The sequence below is a fragment of the Homo sapiens genome, chromosome 9 (assembly GCF_000001405.40).
Source record: "Homo sapiens chromosome 9, GRCh38.p14 Primary Assembly".
NCBI lineage: Eukaryota > Metazoa > Chordata > Mammalia > Primates > Hominidae > Homo > Homo sapiens.
Window position 1 is genome coordinate 673,209 of NC_000009.12, and position 14,300 is coordinate 687,508.

The following is a 14,300-nucleotide window of genomic DNA, read 5'->3' on the forward strand; positions in this document are numbered from 1 at the left end:
TTTTTTTTTTTTTTTTTTGAGACAGGGTCTCTCACTCTGCTGTGCAGGCTGGAATGCAGTGGCGTGATCTCGGCTCACCGCAACCTCTGCCTCCCTGTTCAAGTGATTCTTGTGCCTCAGCCTCCCAAGTAGCTGGGATCACAGGCGTGTACCACCCTACCCAGCTAATTTTTGTAGTTGTAGTAGAGATGGGATTTTGCCATGTTGGCCAGCCTGGTCTTGAACTCCTGGCCTCAAGTGATCCACCCACCTCGGCCTCCCAAAGTGCTGGGATTATAGGCGTGAGCCACCGTGCCCGGCCAACAGTGTCTTGTTATTTTACCAGTGATATGCTTACAGTTCCTAATTTTAGGCTTCCTCCTTATTTTGGTTTTATTGTTCAGTTTGGGGAAGGGTGGGAGGCACCAATTTGGATCTGAGAAAAAGATCTTCTGCCAGATGAAAGAGTTTCAATAACAGGAGAGGACCTTGGGCCAAAGTTTATTAAGCTTGACTAGGAAGATTCTGGGCACATCTCCATCCAAATACCTTGACACATACTTCATTCACCCCTAGCACATGCAGCTTGTCCCTTCTTGTCTTCTGTTTGCCTTCAAGGTTTTACATGGTGGTATTTACAAGCCGTTATGGAGCAAGAGTGCAAACACACAAGGCTAGCAAGGGGCCAGTAAACAGGGTTTGGCTTAGGGTTTTGTGGTTGTTAGCTTTTAAAAGCATACTTAGTTGAATAATTCCAGAAACTGGGCTTCTTTCCTTTGCCCCTTCATTTGCCCCTCCCTCTCTGGTCTTCCCAGTCTCCACTTTTTTTTTTGTTTAAATAAAACTGCGTTTGTCAGAAATGTATAGACATTCACTCCTATTCTTAAAAGACAGTGTTTATCCCTAATGCCTGCCTTTTGATTCAGCCAGCAGTGACTGTGCACACAGAGGTTATTGCTCTCCAAGTTCAATGTTGTGGACCTGAACCAGTGCCTCTGTTTCCAAGAGAAAGTCAGGTGATTACCCCTTCATCAGGGAGATTGGAGCCATCCTATCCTTCTGGTGTGTCACCAGCCAGAAACTAAGGATCAGCAGGGAGTGGATGGTTTAGAATCTCCTCTCTCCAGGTGAACACAATGCTAGTCAGTGTAGCTGGAAAAGCCACGCAGCGGGCAGGCTTGTCAGAAGCAATCTGTTTAAAAAAAAAAAAAAAGAGAGAGAGAAAAAAGGGTCCTTTTGAATTTACACTGAGTTGCTTTCACAGTAGTTAGCTTTGAACTGTGGTGCAAACCCATTTAAACAATGAGGGAAATTTCACTAAGTGGCAAGAAATTCTCACCCTGTGTGATCAAAGCAATCAGCCATTTCCTTTTCTTTCCTTTTTATTTACTTATATTTCTGACCCCTTATAATCTTCATGATTGTAGCCTGATAGTTTCCTTTTTTGAATAGCATTTAAAAAAATACCTTTTCTTTTCCCTGAGGGTTTTAAAGCAAATAAGACAGAAGGGGTCTAAATTTTTAGTTTTGTTTTTTGAGACAGTCTCGTTCTGTCGCCCAGGCTGGGGTGCAGTGGTGCAATCTCAGCTCACTGCAATCTCCGTCTCCCAGGTTCAAGTGGTTCTGGTGCCTCAGCCTCCCGAGTAGCTGGGATTACAGGCGTGCACCACCAGCCTTGGCTAATTTTTGTATTTTTTAGTAGAGAAGAGGTTTTGCCATGTTGGCCAGGCTGGTCTCAAACTCCTGACCTCAGGTGATCTGCCTGCGTCAGCCTCCCACAGTGCTGGGATTACAGGTGTGAGCCACCGCACCTGGCCTAAATATTTATTTTTAATAATGATTATTATTACAAAAGTAAGAAAAGAGCTAAAATCCATGATTTCATCACCCAGAGGCAACCACCACAGTGAACATTTTGGTACAATTACTTCTCATCGTTTAAATGTGTACATATACACATACATATTTTTAATAAAATTAGGTTTAGGATAGTATACAGTTTTGTTTTTCTTTTAACCAACATACTTTGAATATTTTGCCTTATTAAAAACTTATATGATTTCAATGGCTGCATTAGAATTAGTGTATACAGATATTATTTTGGCATTCTGTTGTTAAGAGGTCATGTGGGTTTCTGAATTGACACTTTAATTCTCAACTTAGAATTTATTTCTCCCAACTTCTTCTGATTTCATGGGTCTAGAGTCAGAGTTTGGGCACAATGGAAATGGGATTTCTATATGTACTGTTGTTTACTGTTTGCTAGTATTTTTCGAAAGGTATTTGCAAAAACCAAAGGGGAAACAGTATACTTTTTTGTATTTTTTTTTCTTTTTTTGTTTTAAATTTTGTGATTGAAATATAAGTCTTATTATGGTAATCTCAGGTAACTTTTAAATAGAAATATCAATGCAAAATGAATATATTGCCCAATGTGGACCCCGGTGTTTCAGAACTATGTGCCATGCTCTATCATTTTGTTACTGGAAAGGGGTCTTAATCCAGACCCCAAGATCTTGGATCTCTCACAAGAAGGAATTAGAGGTGAATCCATAGAGTAAAGTAAAAGCAAGTTTATTAAGAAAATAAAGGAATAAAGAATGGCTACTCCATAGGCAGAGCAGGAGCGTAGGCTGCTCAACTGATTATACACACAGTTACTTCTTGATGCTAAACAAGAGGTGGATTATTCTTGTGTTTTGCAGGAAAGGGGTGGGTAGTTCCTGGAAGTGAGGGGTCCTCCCCTTTTTAGACCATATAGGATAACTTCCTGACATTGCCATGGCATTTGTAAACTGTCCTGCTGCTGGTGGGAATGTTTTTTAGCATGCTAATGCATTATAATTAGCATATAATGAGCAGTGAGAATGACCAGAGATCACTTTCATCTCCATCTTGGTTTTGGTGGGTTTTGGACGGCTTCTTTACCACAACCTGTTTTATCAGCAAGGTCTTTGTGACCTGTATCTTGTGCTGACCTGTCTCATCCTGTGACTAAGAATGCCTAACCTCCTGGGAATTTAGACTTAAAATAAAGGTCTCAGCCTTATTTTATCTAGCCCCTACTCAAGATGGAGTTGCTCTGGTCCGAATGCCTCTAATAATTTGAAGTTTATCCAACGGCACAGTGGGAGATAATGAATTTTTGTTTAAGAGGAGGAGGACTGACTGGATCAGATTTGTGCTTTAGAAAGGTGGTTGCATGTAAGAAAGAGGCGTTGGTAGAAAGACTTCGGATATCTCAAAAGAATTTCCATGAAGTTAATCTTTTTAAAAATGTAAACATTTGGTGCAATAATTGCTTTGAAATTGCAGTTGAATAAATGAACTTTTTGAACCAGAATTTGGAAAGGAAGATATGCTTAAAAACCAAAAATATTTCGTAGAGTGCTACACATTAGGAAGTCATTTGTATTTGGTGACCACTTTCCTAAAATAGTCTCATTTCTAGAGAACCAATTTTGTTTCCCATAGATTATTATGTGTAGAGACCCCCTTTCAGTATGTAGCCACTGGTACATCCGTGGGTGTTATCTCCATACTGCCAGGTCCAATGCAGTCACCTCCTGGATCTATAGTCTTTCTCCCCCCATTCCGATTTCCTTTCTCTGTTAGCAGTCATCTTTGTAAACAGAAGTCTAAGATTTAGTTTGTACATTTTTTAAATGATCCATTTTGATGGGGCTCTCTTTATTGTTTCAGGTTGAATGCCTTTGAGAACTTGATGCATAAAATTTGCATGACTCCTCACTCCTTTCTGGATCTCTCATTGGACTCAAGCCAGCATGGCTCACACCACAAAGGTTAACGGCAGTGCCTCAGGTAACCCTGTGCTCTGGAGTTTGTGTGTTAAATGTATGTCTTTTCTCAAACTAATTTTTTATTCTCTTTAATAATGAACGGATAATAGCAAGTTGCCTAGATAACTAGGATTTCAAAGCAATTTTCTGTCCATTGAAGTTTGGGTTTGTTTTGTTTTACTCTCAGAAAATTTGCTTTTATCTTAGAGTCTTGCACTGAAATCAATTGAGTAAATTATTACCTAAGTCAATTCTGTTGAAGTGTTGAAAGACAAATGTAAATACTGAATGCTGATGCAAATGTAATGTATACTCCTCTTGCACTTCTTTCTGAGGGATTGAATGAGGAGAGAGGAAATTAGTTTGGATGCTTAAAACCAATTCCTAGTAGCCACTCCCAAGCAGCTTTTGTTTGATGTTGCTAAACAAAGAGAAAGGAGGGAAGAGAAGTATATATTCTGTAAAATGATTCTCTTAGGAATATGCAACAAGCCATATTATGAATCATAAAGACCTGTATTTGAATTCTTATTTTGGTTATATTAGAGACTTACATAGTTTCACTTTCTGTTCCAATATTGCTTCTGTGAGATTCGGGAGAAATCTGTACACGAAATGCAGAGAAGATCCTCCTAAGAGACACATCACCATAGGGACAACCTGCCCAAAATGGCGTGCCAAGTGTTCATTTCTTTTTTGAGTTATGTGCCAAATAGCTGAATGAGTAAGAATAGTAATTGTCTATGCAGAAATTTTTTCTGAGCGTCTGAGTCCAGACTCCTACGTCTGCTGGCTCTGAACACCTTCAAATGACAACATTATATACTGGAGCAAGTGTAGAATTGGAGCCAGGAAACCTGAATTTGAGTCCTAGTTCCAGCACTAACCGTGAAATATTGGGCAGGGCTATTTCTCCACATGTAAACCATCGGTAAGTATATCCACCTGCCGGTTTAGGACCAGTGAGCGCACCAGAAACATACTTAGAGGAGCTATGTAAGCCGTAAAGCACTTTTGAAGACAACAGCAGGAAGTGACCTCTAAAGTGGGCATTCCCAGCCCATGAATGTGACTTTTTATTCTAGCGGTCTCAGCTGCAATTATCTCCTCTGGGTAGAACACTATAACCCAAACCCAGATAAACTCAGTTATTTGTTCTGGGATGACTGATCTTTCCCTGTCCATTCCATTTTTGACCTTTTTTACTGCCCAGCTTCTTGAGACTTTTATAGATTCTGCTGTGGGACTGCTATCAATAATAAAGACATGAATGATAATATCTAACATTCATTGAACACTTAAATGCACCATGGTGCCTAAAATGCTTTGCCTGCATTTTCATACTTAATCCTCACAATAATCTAATGAGATTAAGCTATTATTTTACTGTCATCATCATCCCTATGTAATGTCACAGAGAAGTTCAGGGACTTACTGTAAATGAAGTAAGAAAAATCAGAATTATGGGCAGTGGCTCACACCTGTAATCCCAGCATTTTGGGAGGCCGAGGGGGATGGATCACCCAAGGTCGGTAGTTCAAGACCAGCCTGGCCAACATGACGAAACCCCATCTCTACAAAAATACAAAAATTAGCCAGGCATGGTGGCGCATGCCTGTAATCCCAGCTACTTAGGAGGCTAAGACAGGAATGGCTGGAACCTGGGAGGCAGAGGTTGCAGTGGGCCCAGATTGCACTACTGCCCTCCAGCCTGAGTGACAGAGTGAGACTCCATATCAAAAAATAAAATAAATCAGAATTATGATGACTTTCTCCAGTAAAATATTTGGTGAGAGAGGAGATTGAAACATTATGAAATTTCAAGTGTAGTGGGTGGGTTTTAATTCCCTCTGATGATGTGGTTTCCTCCCTTGCCCTCCATTTGCTTCCATTCACATGCTCAGGGGAAGGGGTGTTTAAGATTGTTGGTGCCTCAAGACCTCAACCTTCTTCTGGTGCCTTGGGCAAAATCCTTTCTTCATGGGTTTAGATACCTACCCCACTAATTCCTTTCCAACTTGGTTTGTTCTGTACTTACCTTTTTTCTTTGTTCCTGAGATCTAATAAGCAAGCTGTAACTTTTCCTTCCCACCTGGTATCCTGCCTAACAGGTCTGGGCATTGAGGTTGAAGGCAAAAGAAAGCTCTCCGATTTGTGACTTTCAGGGTGTCAGAGTATGAATTGTTACTGCAGACAGTTATCTGGACTGTGCAGGGGAAGATTTTTTACTTATTCTAGTCACCATGACCCATGTACATCTATAAGCAAATCTAATTAGAGACTCAACCATAAACAGTAATATATATGCAAACATACATATATGTGTGTATGTGTCTGTATATGTATATACACACATAGTAATATATACATACATATATGTATATACAAACACAAATGTGTGTACACCATATATATGACACTCATAGAAAAAAAAAATTTTTTTTTGAGATGGAGTCTTGCTCTGTCACCCAGGCTGGAGTGCAGTGGCACGATATCGGCTCACTGCAACCTCTGCCTCCTGGGTTCAAGTGATTCTTGTGCCTCAGCCTCCCACGCAGCTGGGATTACAGGCCCATGCCATCACGCCTGGCCAATTTTTGTATTTTTAGTAGAGATGAGGTTTCACCATGTTAACCAGGCTGGGGTTGAACTCATGACTTCAGGTGATCTGCCTACCTCGGCACTTTGGGATTACAGGCATGAGCCACCGCACCCAGCTGAAAATTTAAAAGTATAGATGTGTGTTGTATTGTCTGAAAACCAAAACAAAAGCAAGAATTACTGGTGATAATACCACCTAGAAATAAATGTCTTCCTATTTTTTATATAGTTGTCAAATGTTATATATTTCACATGGTTGAGAATATGTTAATAAAAATCATTCCTTTACCTTTTCCCACTTTGTATTACAAAGGAAACACCTCTCCAATGTTTAAAAAAATACTCAATGTAAGAGATGCGGGTTATAAATACACTTCTGTGCATGTAAATAACATTTAGAGAACCTAGATGAAGATGAGATAAAGAGGGCTTCATGGCAGCTAGTGAGGGCCAATTACTGGTCTCCTATGAGAAAAGGATAAGCTATTTGGGTTTAGTAGGAGTTTCAGATGTGGAGTAAATTATATGTTTCTTCAATTTCCAAAAATTGCTGCTTGGGCTTCATAGAGCATGAGGGGAAATTTCATGTGACGATGGAGTCAGGGCAGTGGCAAAAGAAGCACTTTCCATAGTGTTAGTAATAAAACAAGCAAAAGAGGAGCCTCTGGGAAAGGGCAAACCATGCCCTTGGCACAAAATACATCCGACGACTGATCATCTCAAGTTGACATCCCCATGTAACATTTAAATGGGATAAGGGGTGATTCACAACCTTTTATACTCTGACTTCCCCTTGGAGTCCCTCACGGAGGCTGGGTAAAAGAAACTGCTTTTAAAACGAGCTATTCATTAATGCTGTAATTTGTAAAATGTATTATGCCACACTTCAGACATACAAAATGTGTGAAAGTTATATAACAAGCACCTTTGTACACACTACTTAGCTTAAGAAATAAACCTTATTAATATAGGCCAGATATACATGAGCACCTACTACGTGCTGTTTTAGGTACTGGGGATACAGCAGTGAACCAAAGAGGCAAAAATTTCTGCCCTCAAGGATTGTACATTCTAGGGACAGTTAAAGTCTCCTGTGTACACGGTTGCCAGAAGAAAAAATACTAAGCACGTGTTCATCGTTTATCTAAAATTCGGTTTAATGGTGCTCCACTTTCGTGCGCGGCCCTACCTGTGTACCCCTTGCAGATTGCACCCCTGCCCTTCCTCACCGCCAGCCCATCAAAATCAATCTTCCCTCGTAGTGTTACCTCTTTTTCACCAGATCCTCCATCCTACTTCTCTTGATTGGTACAGTACTGTTTTCATTAATTCAAAACATTTTAGGCCAGATGGGGTGGCGCAGACGTGTAATCCCAACACTTTGGAAGGCCGAGGAGGGAGGATTGCTTGAGGCCAGGAGTTCAAGACCGGTGTGGGGAACATAGCCAGACTCCATCTCTACAAAAAAAAATTTTTTTAAATTAGCCAGGCATAGTGGTATGCACCTGTAGTCCCAGCTACTCAGGAGGCTGAGGTGGGAGGATTGCTTGAGCCCAGTAGTCTGAGGCTGCAGTGAGTTATGATGGTACCACTGCACTCCAGCCTGGGTGACAGAGCCAGACCCTATCTCTAAAGCAAAAAACAAAAAACATTTTATTATGGTACTGCTAACAGTACTGCAGCGTCTTTTGTTAAGGAGGTAAGAGCATCATAAATTGCTCTTGACTGTTCTCTCATAGCCAGCTAGGAAGTAAATGGTGATTGTTGGTTAGGAAAATAGCTGTGTTTCTTTGGGGTGTAGGGATGAGGCAGTCTGCTTTTTCCCCAAGTTTCTGAATCATGTTGTAAACTGAATGCACTGATTGATACCTCTCTAAACACTAATGTTGTGAAACTTTAATTAGAGCTTAGATATGCTTTAGAAGCCAAATAACAAGTGGCTTATTTGTGAAAGAAAGATAATAATAGCTATCCTACCTTCTTCACAAGGTGGTTGTGCAGGGAAAAAAAGAATAGCTGTAAAAACACTTTTTAAAACACAAAGTGCTGGTCATATGTCAGGGGATAGCACCATTCCCCTTGTTCTCTTGTCCTTGTCATGAGCCGCTGATCAGGAAACATCCCAGGTACCCTCATGTCAGGCCCTGCTGGACGCCATGATATTGGGGCCAGAGTTGTATTAACATCCTCATTAAACCCAGTTAAATGACATAAATGGATGAGCACTGGGAGGTGACTTTTTATGCCTGCTCTTATCATCTTTATTTTTGCTACTAGTTGCCTTCCCCAATTGATTATAGCTTTTCCCTCATGCTCTTTCTTTTTTTGCAGCCTGGATATATATTTTTTCAGACAGATACATATTTATTTATTAAAGATGCTTATTGAATTGCATTAAAATGTTATTTAGGCTGGGCACGGTGGCTTACGCCTGTAATTCCAGCACTTTGGGAGGCCGATGCAGGTGGATCACCTGAGGTCAGGAGCTCGAGACCAGCCTGGCCAACATGGTGAAAACCCGTCTCTACTAAAAATATAAAAACTAGCTGGGTGTGGTGGTGGGCGCCTGTAATTCCAGCTACTCGGGAGGCTGAGGCAGGAGAATTGCTTGAACCCGGGAGACGAAGGTTGCAGTGTCCCGACACAGTGCTACTGCACTCCAGCCTCCATGACAAAGTGAGACTCCGTCTCAAAAAAAAAAAAAGAAAAGTTATTTAAATTAATGATAACATAAAATTTGACAGGAAACCAGAAGAGAAGAATTACTCAAAATTCCACACTAGGTCTTATTTTTAGTATTTATTTTTCATGCTTTTCAGGCTAACAAACTTAAACACAGTTTCAATAAGCTTTTATAATTTGGATATCAGCTCTTGACTTTAACATTCTTTGCATTTTTCCAAGTCTTCATGGAAAATAGTTTTCAAATTATTATTTTCAATGACTGTATAATATTCCTTATGGTGTTTCTACCAGTTGAAGTATTCTTTTTTTGTTTGGATGTTTGGACTGCTTCCACATTTTCCCTATGGTAGATGATGTTGCAGAGAACATCTTCCCTGGTCATTTTTCTCCTCCTTTTTTATTATTTCCCAACAATTTCAAAGAAGCAGGATGACTGGGTTAAAGGGCACAATGTTTTCATGGCTTTAGTAACTGTTGTGGGGCTTGAATCTCGTTATCTTGGTCAGTTATTTGGCTCCAGCTTTTGTCTCTATGCTGATCTTAAATGAGTACAAAGGCCACTGATAAGACCGGGTCAGCCAGACAGAGCCAGGCTCATGGCAGGGTAGGCAGAATGCTGCAGTGCGGTGCACCCCACTCTCGCTTGTGTAAATATTTTTCTGGGCAGGAGCGTTTCTCAAACAGAACTCTGAGCCCACTGCGGTGAACCTGATAGCAGGAATTACGTGCTATTTGTCAAGTATAAGACTAGTTTGCAGTGACTGGTCTGGCTAGAACCCACCTGGTGTTTTCTGAGATCATCTGTAAGGAAACACACAGCACAGCAGAGGCAGTGTGCGCCCGTGGTGGTGAGTCTTAGACCTGTCATCTGTGTTAGCATTACCCCGAAGGCAGAGAGTTTGCTGATTAGAAACTATGGCTGCTTTAATTCATGGGTACCCTCCGTGACTTTTCAGGGTCTCCTGGTTGAATGAATTTGCAGAAGGATTAAAATGTGTGTTCTTATTTGTGCTTTGTATTCTCCCATAAGTAGTGTGTTGGAGGCTATTAGAATAGCTGAGAGGGTAAAACATAAACACATAGGTAGGAGCCTGACATAAACACATAGGTAGGAGCCTGCCATAAGCACGTAGGTAAGAACTAAAAGGGTGTGTTTCCATTTCAGTTGTCCAGCCTTCCTTCCATACTCTCAGATGACAAAACACAAGTTGCTGAGCTCACACAGCTAATGACTAAGCCAGAAGTTGGACATGGAGAACATTTTTCCTTTGTTCAAGGTTATTTATTATGTTGACATTTAAAATCAGAAGTGTGATATCTGTGAAGTTCTGATTAAACAGATCAAGTGAAAAGGATGTAGTTCAGAAAACTGCATAAAACCCTAAAGTACAGTGTTTAAAAATAAAACGTCCTCCCTGATAGGGATTATGTTGGTAAGTTACTTTTTTTCTTAGTATGGATTATTTCAAATTAATAAACATATTGTTATTCCTTTATTTATTGCATCATACAGCTTCATCCTAGTATTAGTGTGTTTAATAATTGCATTTAATTAGATTATGCATTTCAACTTTCAATGAAACTGTAGCTGTTAGTCTTTTGAAGGCTAATTTCACGCTGAAATTTATAGATGAAATAATTTTCTTATAGTGGTGGTGTTTGAGAAGATAATGTAACTACTTCTTAGATTTCAATTTCATAACCCTTAAAATGTTGGGACCACCTACAAATGGGGGACACCCTGGGTTTTGAAGTCTTGCCTGTGTGGTTAATCAGAACCTCAGAATTCACCCAGCCCCCGGAGAGGTTTTGAAAAGCCCCTGGCTCATCAGAGCTTGCTTGTTTCATAAACTCTTAAGGCTTTGTTTTAACCTGTAGCCAGCTTCGCCTTATAAGCTTTCTTGCCCCAAGCCTTGAGCCAGTCATAATGGCTTAAGCATCAGATTTCAGACAGGCGATTAGCTCTCCAGCTAAGCCAAGAAAGGATGATTTATCTTCCAGTGAGTACCAGCCTATTTGAGTGTAGGAAGGAGAAAAATCTGTGCTCCTGCTCCTGGGTACTGGGCAAAGAAACCCTTTGGTTGGGGATTTTTGCCTGGTACCAACTTTATAGGTGCCAACAAGAAAGAAAGAAAAAAACACATACAAAATAAACACCCAACAGGGAGATTCGCTGTGTTAAGAACTCGAGCTGTTGCTATTATTCTAAGAGACTGGGTAGCCAGTCAAAGGGTTAAAACAGCCCTTCCTACAAGGATTTGAAAACTCTGTGCTCTGCTCTTCCTCAGCAGACTTCTCGTTGTGAGTATTGGCATTTATTTCTGATTATGCACTTCCCCTCTTTCTTGAATGAGTTGGGTGGGCTAGCTGAGCCCATCAAAGGTATAGCTCATTTGCTTCCTTTTCCAGGGTTTGCCTTCTTCCTGTGTCTGGGATAATTTCAGTTCATCTCCTTTGTGCAGTTTCTGAGAAAGGTTTGTATGGGCTTAGAGGAAAATGATCGTGACTAAAGCTCACAGTCACCGCTTTGGCTCCTTTTCTATAAAAGGTGGTTTGATTTGATCTGGCATGAAAAATATTATCATAATTCTCAAATTCACAGAAACGATAAGTTCTTGCTCTTTCCTGACCAAAAAAAAAAATTAATTGCATTGGGTAGACTTCTCTAATAAAACCTTTAAGGAGACCCATCCAGGAAATCAGATTTTATAAGATTCATTCAAACAGTTGTAGAAATTCTAAGTTCAAAAACCAAAAGCAGACTCTTTTCTTTTTCCTTCCTTGGCTTCTCTGTTGGATATTTTTGGAGTGAGCCTTAACTGAGTTACTCATTTCCACATGCTTTAGGAAAAGTATGCTCATGTTTTACAGGCTAAGCCTGGTTCTGCTTTTGAGCTGCAGTTCATTATGAATCCGGAAAACACAGGTTTTTGAAATGCGGCCCATTTGTACATATAGCATTAGTCATCTCAGCTGGTAGTTCTATACGATGAGTTATCTCACCACTTAAAAATAAGTACGCTGCTATTTTGAGATTTAAAAATATATATAGTGACCAGATTTCTTACCCTAGTTAAAGCAAGCCATGGCTGAAACTCAGATTAAACAATATTCTATAAAAATGAGAGAAGGCCACTCTAATCAACAGATAGAAAAACAGAACTATAGACATAAGGGAGAGCTGTGCTAAGGGACAAATTGTTGGATTTGTAGGATTTGTTCGTATCCTGAAAGTTAAATCTTTGTACTCTTACCTTGTTTATGGCCAGATTTGCCTGATCCCTGATTTCCCTCCCAACTGGATCAGAGGTTGTGGAATTGGAATTTCACCATACAAACCTTTACTTAAAGGAGGTAGTACTAGAGTAACCATTTATGGGAACAGTTTGCTACTAATAGTTACTAGTACTGAGTTTATTTTAGTTCCTTTTTCATGATTTTATTCCATTGGAAAAGTTTTCTCTCAGGGATCTTTTCTACTTTGGACATGATCTCTGTTAGGCAGAATCAAAAGATAGCTGTGTGGCTTTCTGAATTTAGTCTCACAATATTTGGTTTAGTTGATAAATCCCATCCATCAGCTTTGCAAATAATTTTGTGAAAACATTGATTCAGCTTGTCCTGCCCAATTTTCCCATCCCTGCCCAGTTTACTGAGTGCCTTTTCCATTTGCATCCACTGTCCATTAGGCCAAGGCGTTTGAAGTGTTTCTGTACAGCAGGTACATTTAAGACTCTCCAGGAAGAAAGGGGGAAGAATATTCCAAACTGAAAACATCAAAGAGAGAGATGGGGTATTTCCAGTAACTTATATGCCCAGTGCTTAATATCTTAAAAACCCTACTCATGTGCATCAGCTCTTACTTTTTTCTAACTAAAACCAGAAAAAAGTTCTCTCTTCCTCTGTTCTCAGTATCCCCCTCATGTAAGTCTGTCTACCCAACACGGTGCAGCCGATTTATTTATTTTTCCCTCAGCATTTTTAGGTGGATTGACTGGGATGCTTTATTCAACTCAGGGACGCACCACGAATATGTTTTTTGGGGCAACCCGTTTGGCATGTTCCCCCTCAGCTGTGAGGACAAAGACTGGTTTGTCTTCTTGTGACCTGGCAGAGGAGGCAGAAGTACCTGCTGAGCTTATGCAGCATGTACCCCAACCGGTGCCCCACCTCTTCAAGTGGTGAATCAGCCTGATGATACACTGATTTTTAGAACACGCTAGGGTGGAGACCTGGAAGTCTGTACACTGGTCGGGGAGGGAGGGATGGTTTGCATGTCAAACCATTTCAACAATGCAGCTTACAGGAAAAAAAAATTAATTGCAAAACACTGTGATGCCCTTTGCCACCAGATTTTTCCATTAGCACCACACTTTATACAGCTTCCAAGTCTGCCCCAGGGACAACTGTTTGGCAGTGTGAGGGGAAATGGCAGCATCACGTCATAAGTGCAATGATTGTTACCTATGAGCCTATCCGGTAAGGGATCTGAGTGGGCCCAAGCATCACACACGTGCTGGAGCTGAGTGTTCTCTGAGGAACATGCTAGGATGTTACTTGGGTGCTAGAAAACAGCAGCTGGAATTCACAACACCTCAGGACACTGATTGTAAATGAAGAATCCTGAGACTAAACATCTTCTAGAAAGGTAAAGGGGGCTTAGGGCTGGGGGCTTTTCCTCTGGGCTCTTATCCTTTGGTATGTTGTCCCTGGATGCTTTGAGATGAGACTTTGCAGATACTGCTGAATTTCTTTTCTTTTCTTTTTTTTTAATACTGCTGCATTTCAATTGGGGTGTTGTTTGGGGACTACTGGAAGGAATGTTATGAAACTCCATAGAAATACTTCAATTCAGTGAGTTCATTCATTCAGTGGCTCACTTTTAAATGACCATACAGATGTATTTGGCAGAATACATCTTTGCCATTTTCCTTCTTTGTGTAATGGACCAGCCCCGAGGCTGCGAGCATTGGTCCTTCTTTGCCTTTTTCTCCCTGCTTTGTGGTTTTGTGTATGTAAGGATGGCTGGCAAGATTAAGGATCATTGAGCTTTGTATTTTCTGTTATTTTTCTGTCTCCCCAAACATTTTCACTTTCACAAACTTTAATCTCTAACTATTATTCCCTTATCTTAACTCTGAACTTTTGTTTTGGACTTATTTTGTCTGAAATCATGGTCTATTTCCGTTTCTTCAGTTCTTGTGTCTGTAAAAATCACAGTAGGCCTTACCGGAG

General features: G+C 40.4%; 1 protein-coding gene and 1 long non-coding RNA gene across 53 annotated transcripts in view, besides 1 other annotated feature; one reads left to right on the forward strand and one right to left on the reverse strand.

The window, feature by feature from the left end:
• KANK1 (KN motif and ankyrin repeat domains 1) overlaps window positions 1-14,300 on the forward strand; it is a 275,809-nt gene that overhangs the window by 202,914 nt on the left and 58,595 nt on the right. For 44 of the 52 annotated variants that reach the window (XM_047423041.1, XM_047423067.1, XM_047423060.1 and 41 more), the window contains one exon: window positions 3,682-3,801. In XM_047423041.1, coding sequence (XP_047278997.1) covers window positions 3,765-3,801 — 37 coding nt within the window. In that variant the 5' untranslated portion in view covers window positions 3,682-3,764. Of the gene's footprint in view, window positions 1-3,681; window positions 3,835-9,837; window positions 9,914-13,555; window positions 13,714-14,300 lie in introns of those variants that run through there. The other 8 variants (XM_047423074.1, XM_047423076.1, XM_047423075.1 and 5 more) reach the window with 3 other exon arrangements.
• KANK1-AS1 (KANK1 antisense RNA 1) lies at window positions 270-12,347 on the reverse strand. Its single transcript, NR_198989.1, has 3 exons — window positions 12,320-12,347; window positions 7,649-7,838; window positions 270-1,171 (listed from the first exon to the last, which is right to left on the reverse strand). It is a non-coding gene; the product is annotated as a KANK1 antisense RNA 1 (long non-coding RNA).
• Window positions 703-1,423: an enhancer, noted in NCBI's record as "OCT4-NANOG-H3K27ac hESC enhancer chr9:673911-674631 (GRCh37/hg19 assembly coordinates)". NCBI's record gives its function as "activates a minimal SCP1, AML or CMV promoter by ChIP-STARR-seq in naive and primed H9 embryonic stem cells {active_cell/tissue: H9 hESC(naive and primed)}" and the evidence as "EXISTENCE:reporter gene assay evidence [ECO:0000049][PMID:30033119]".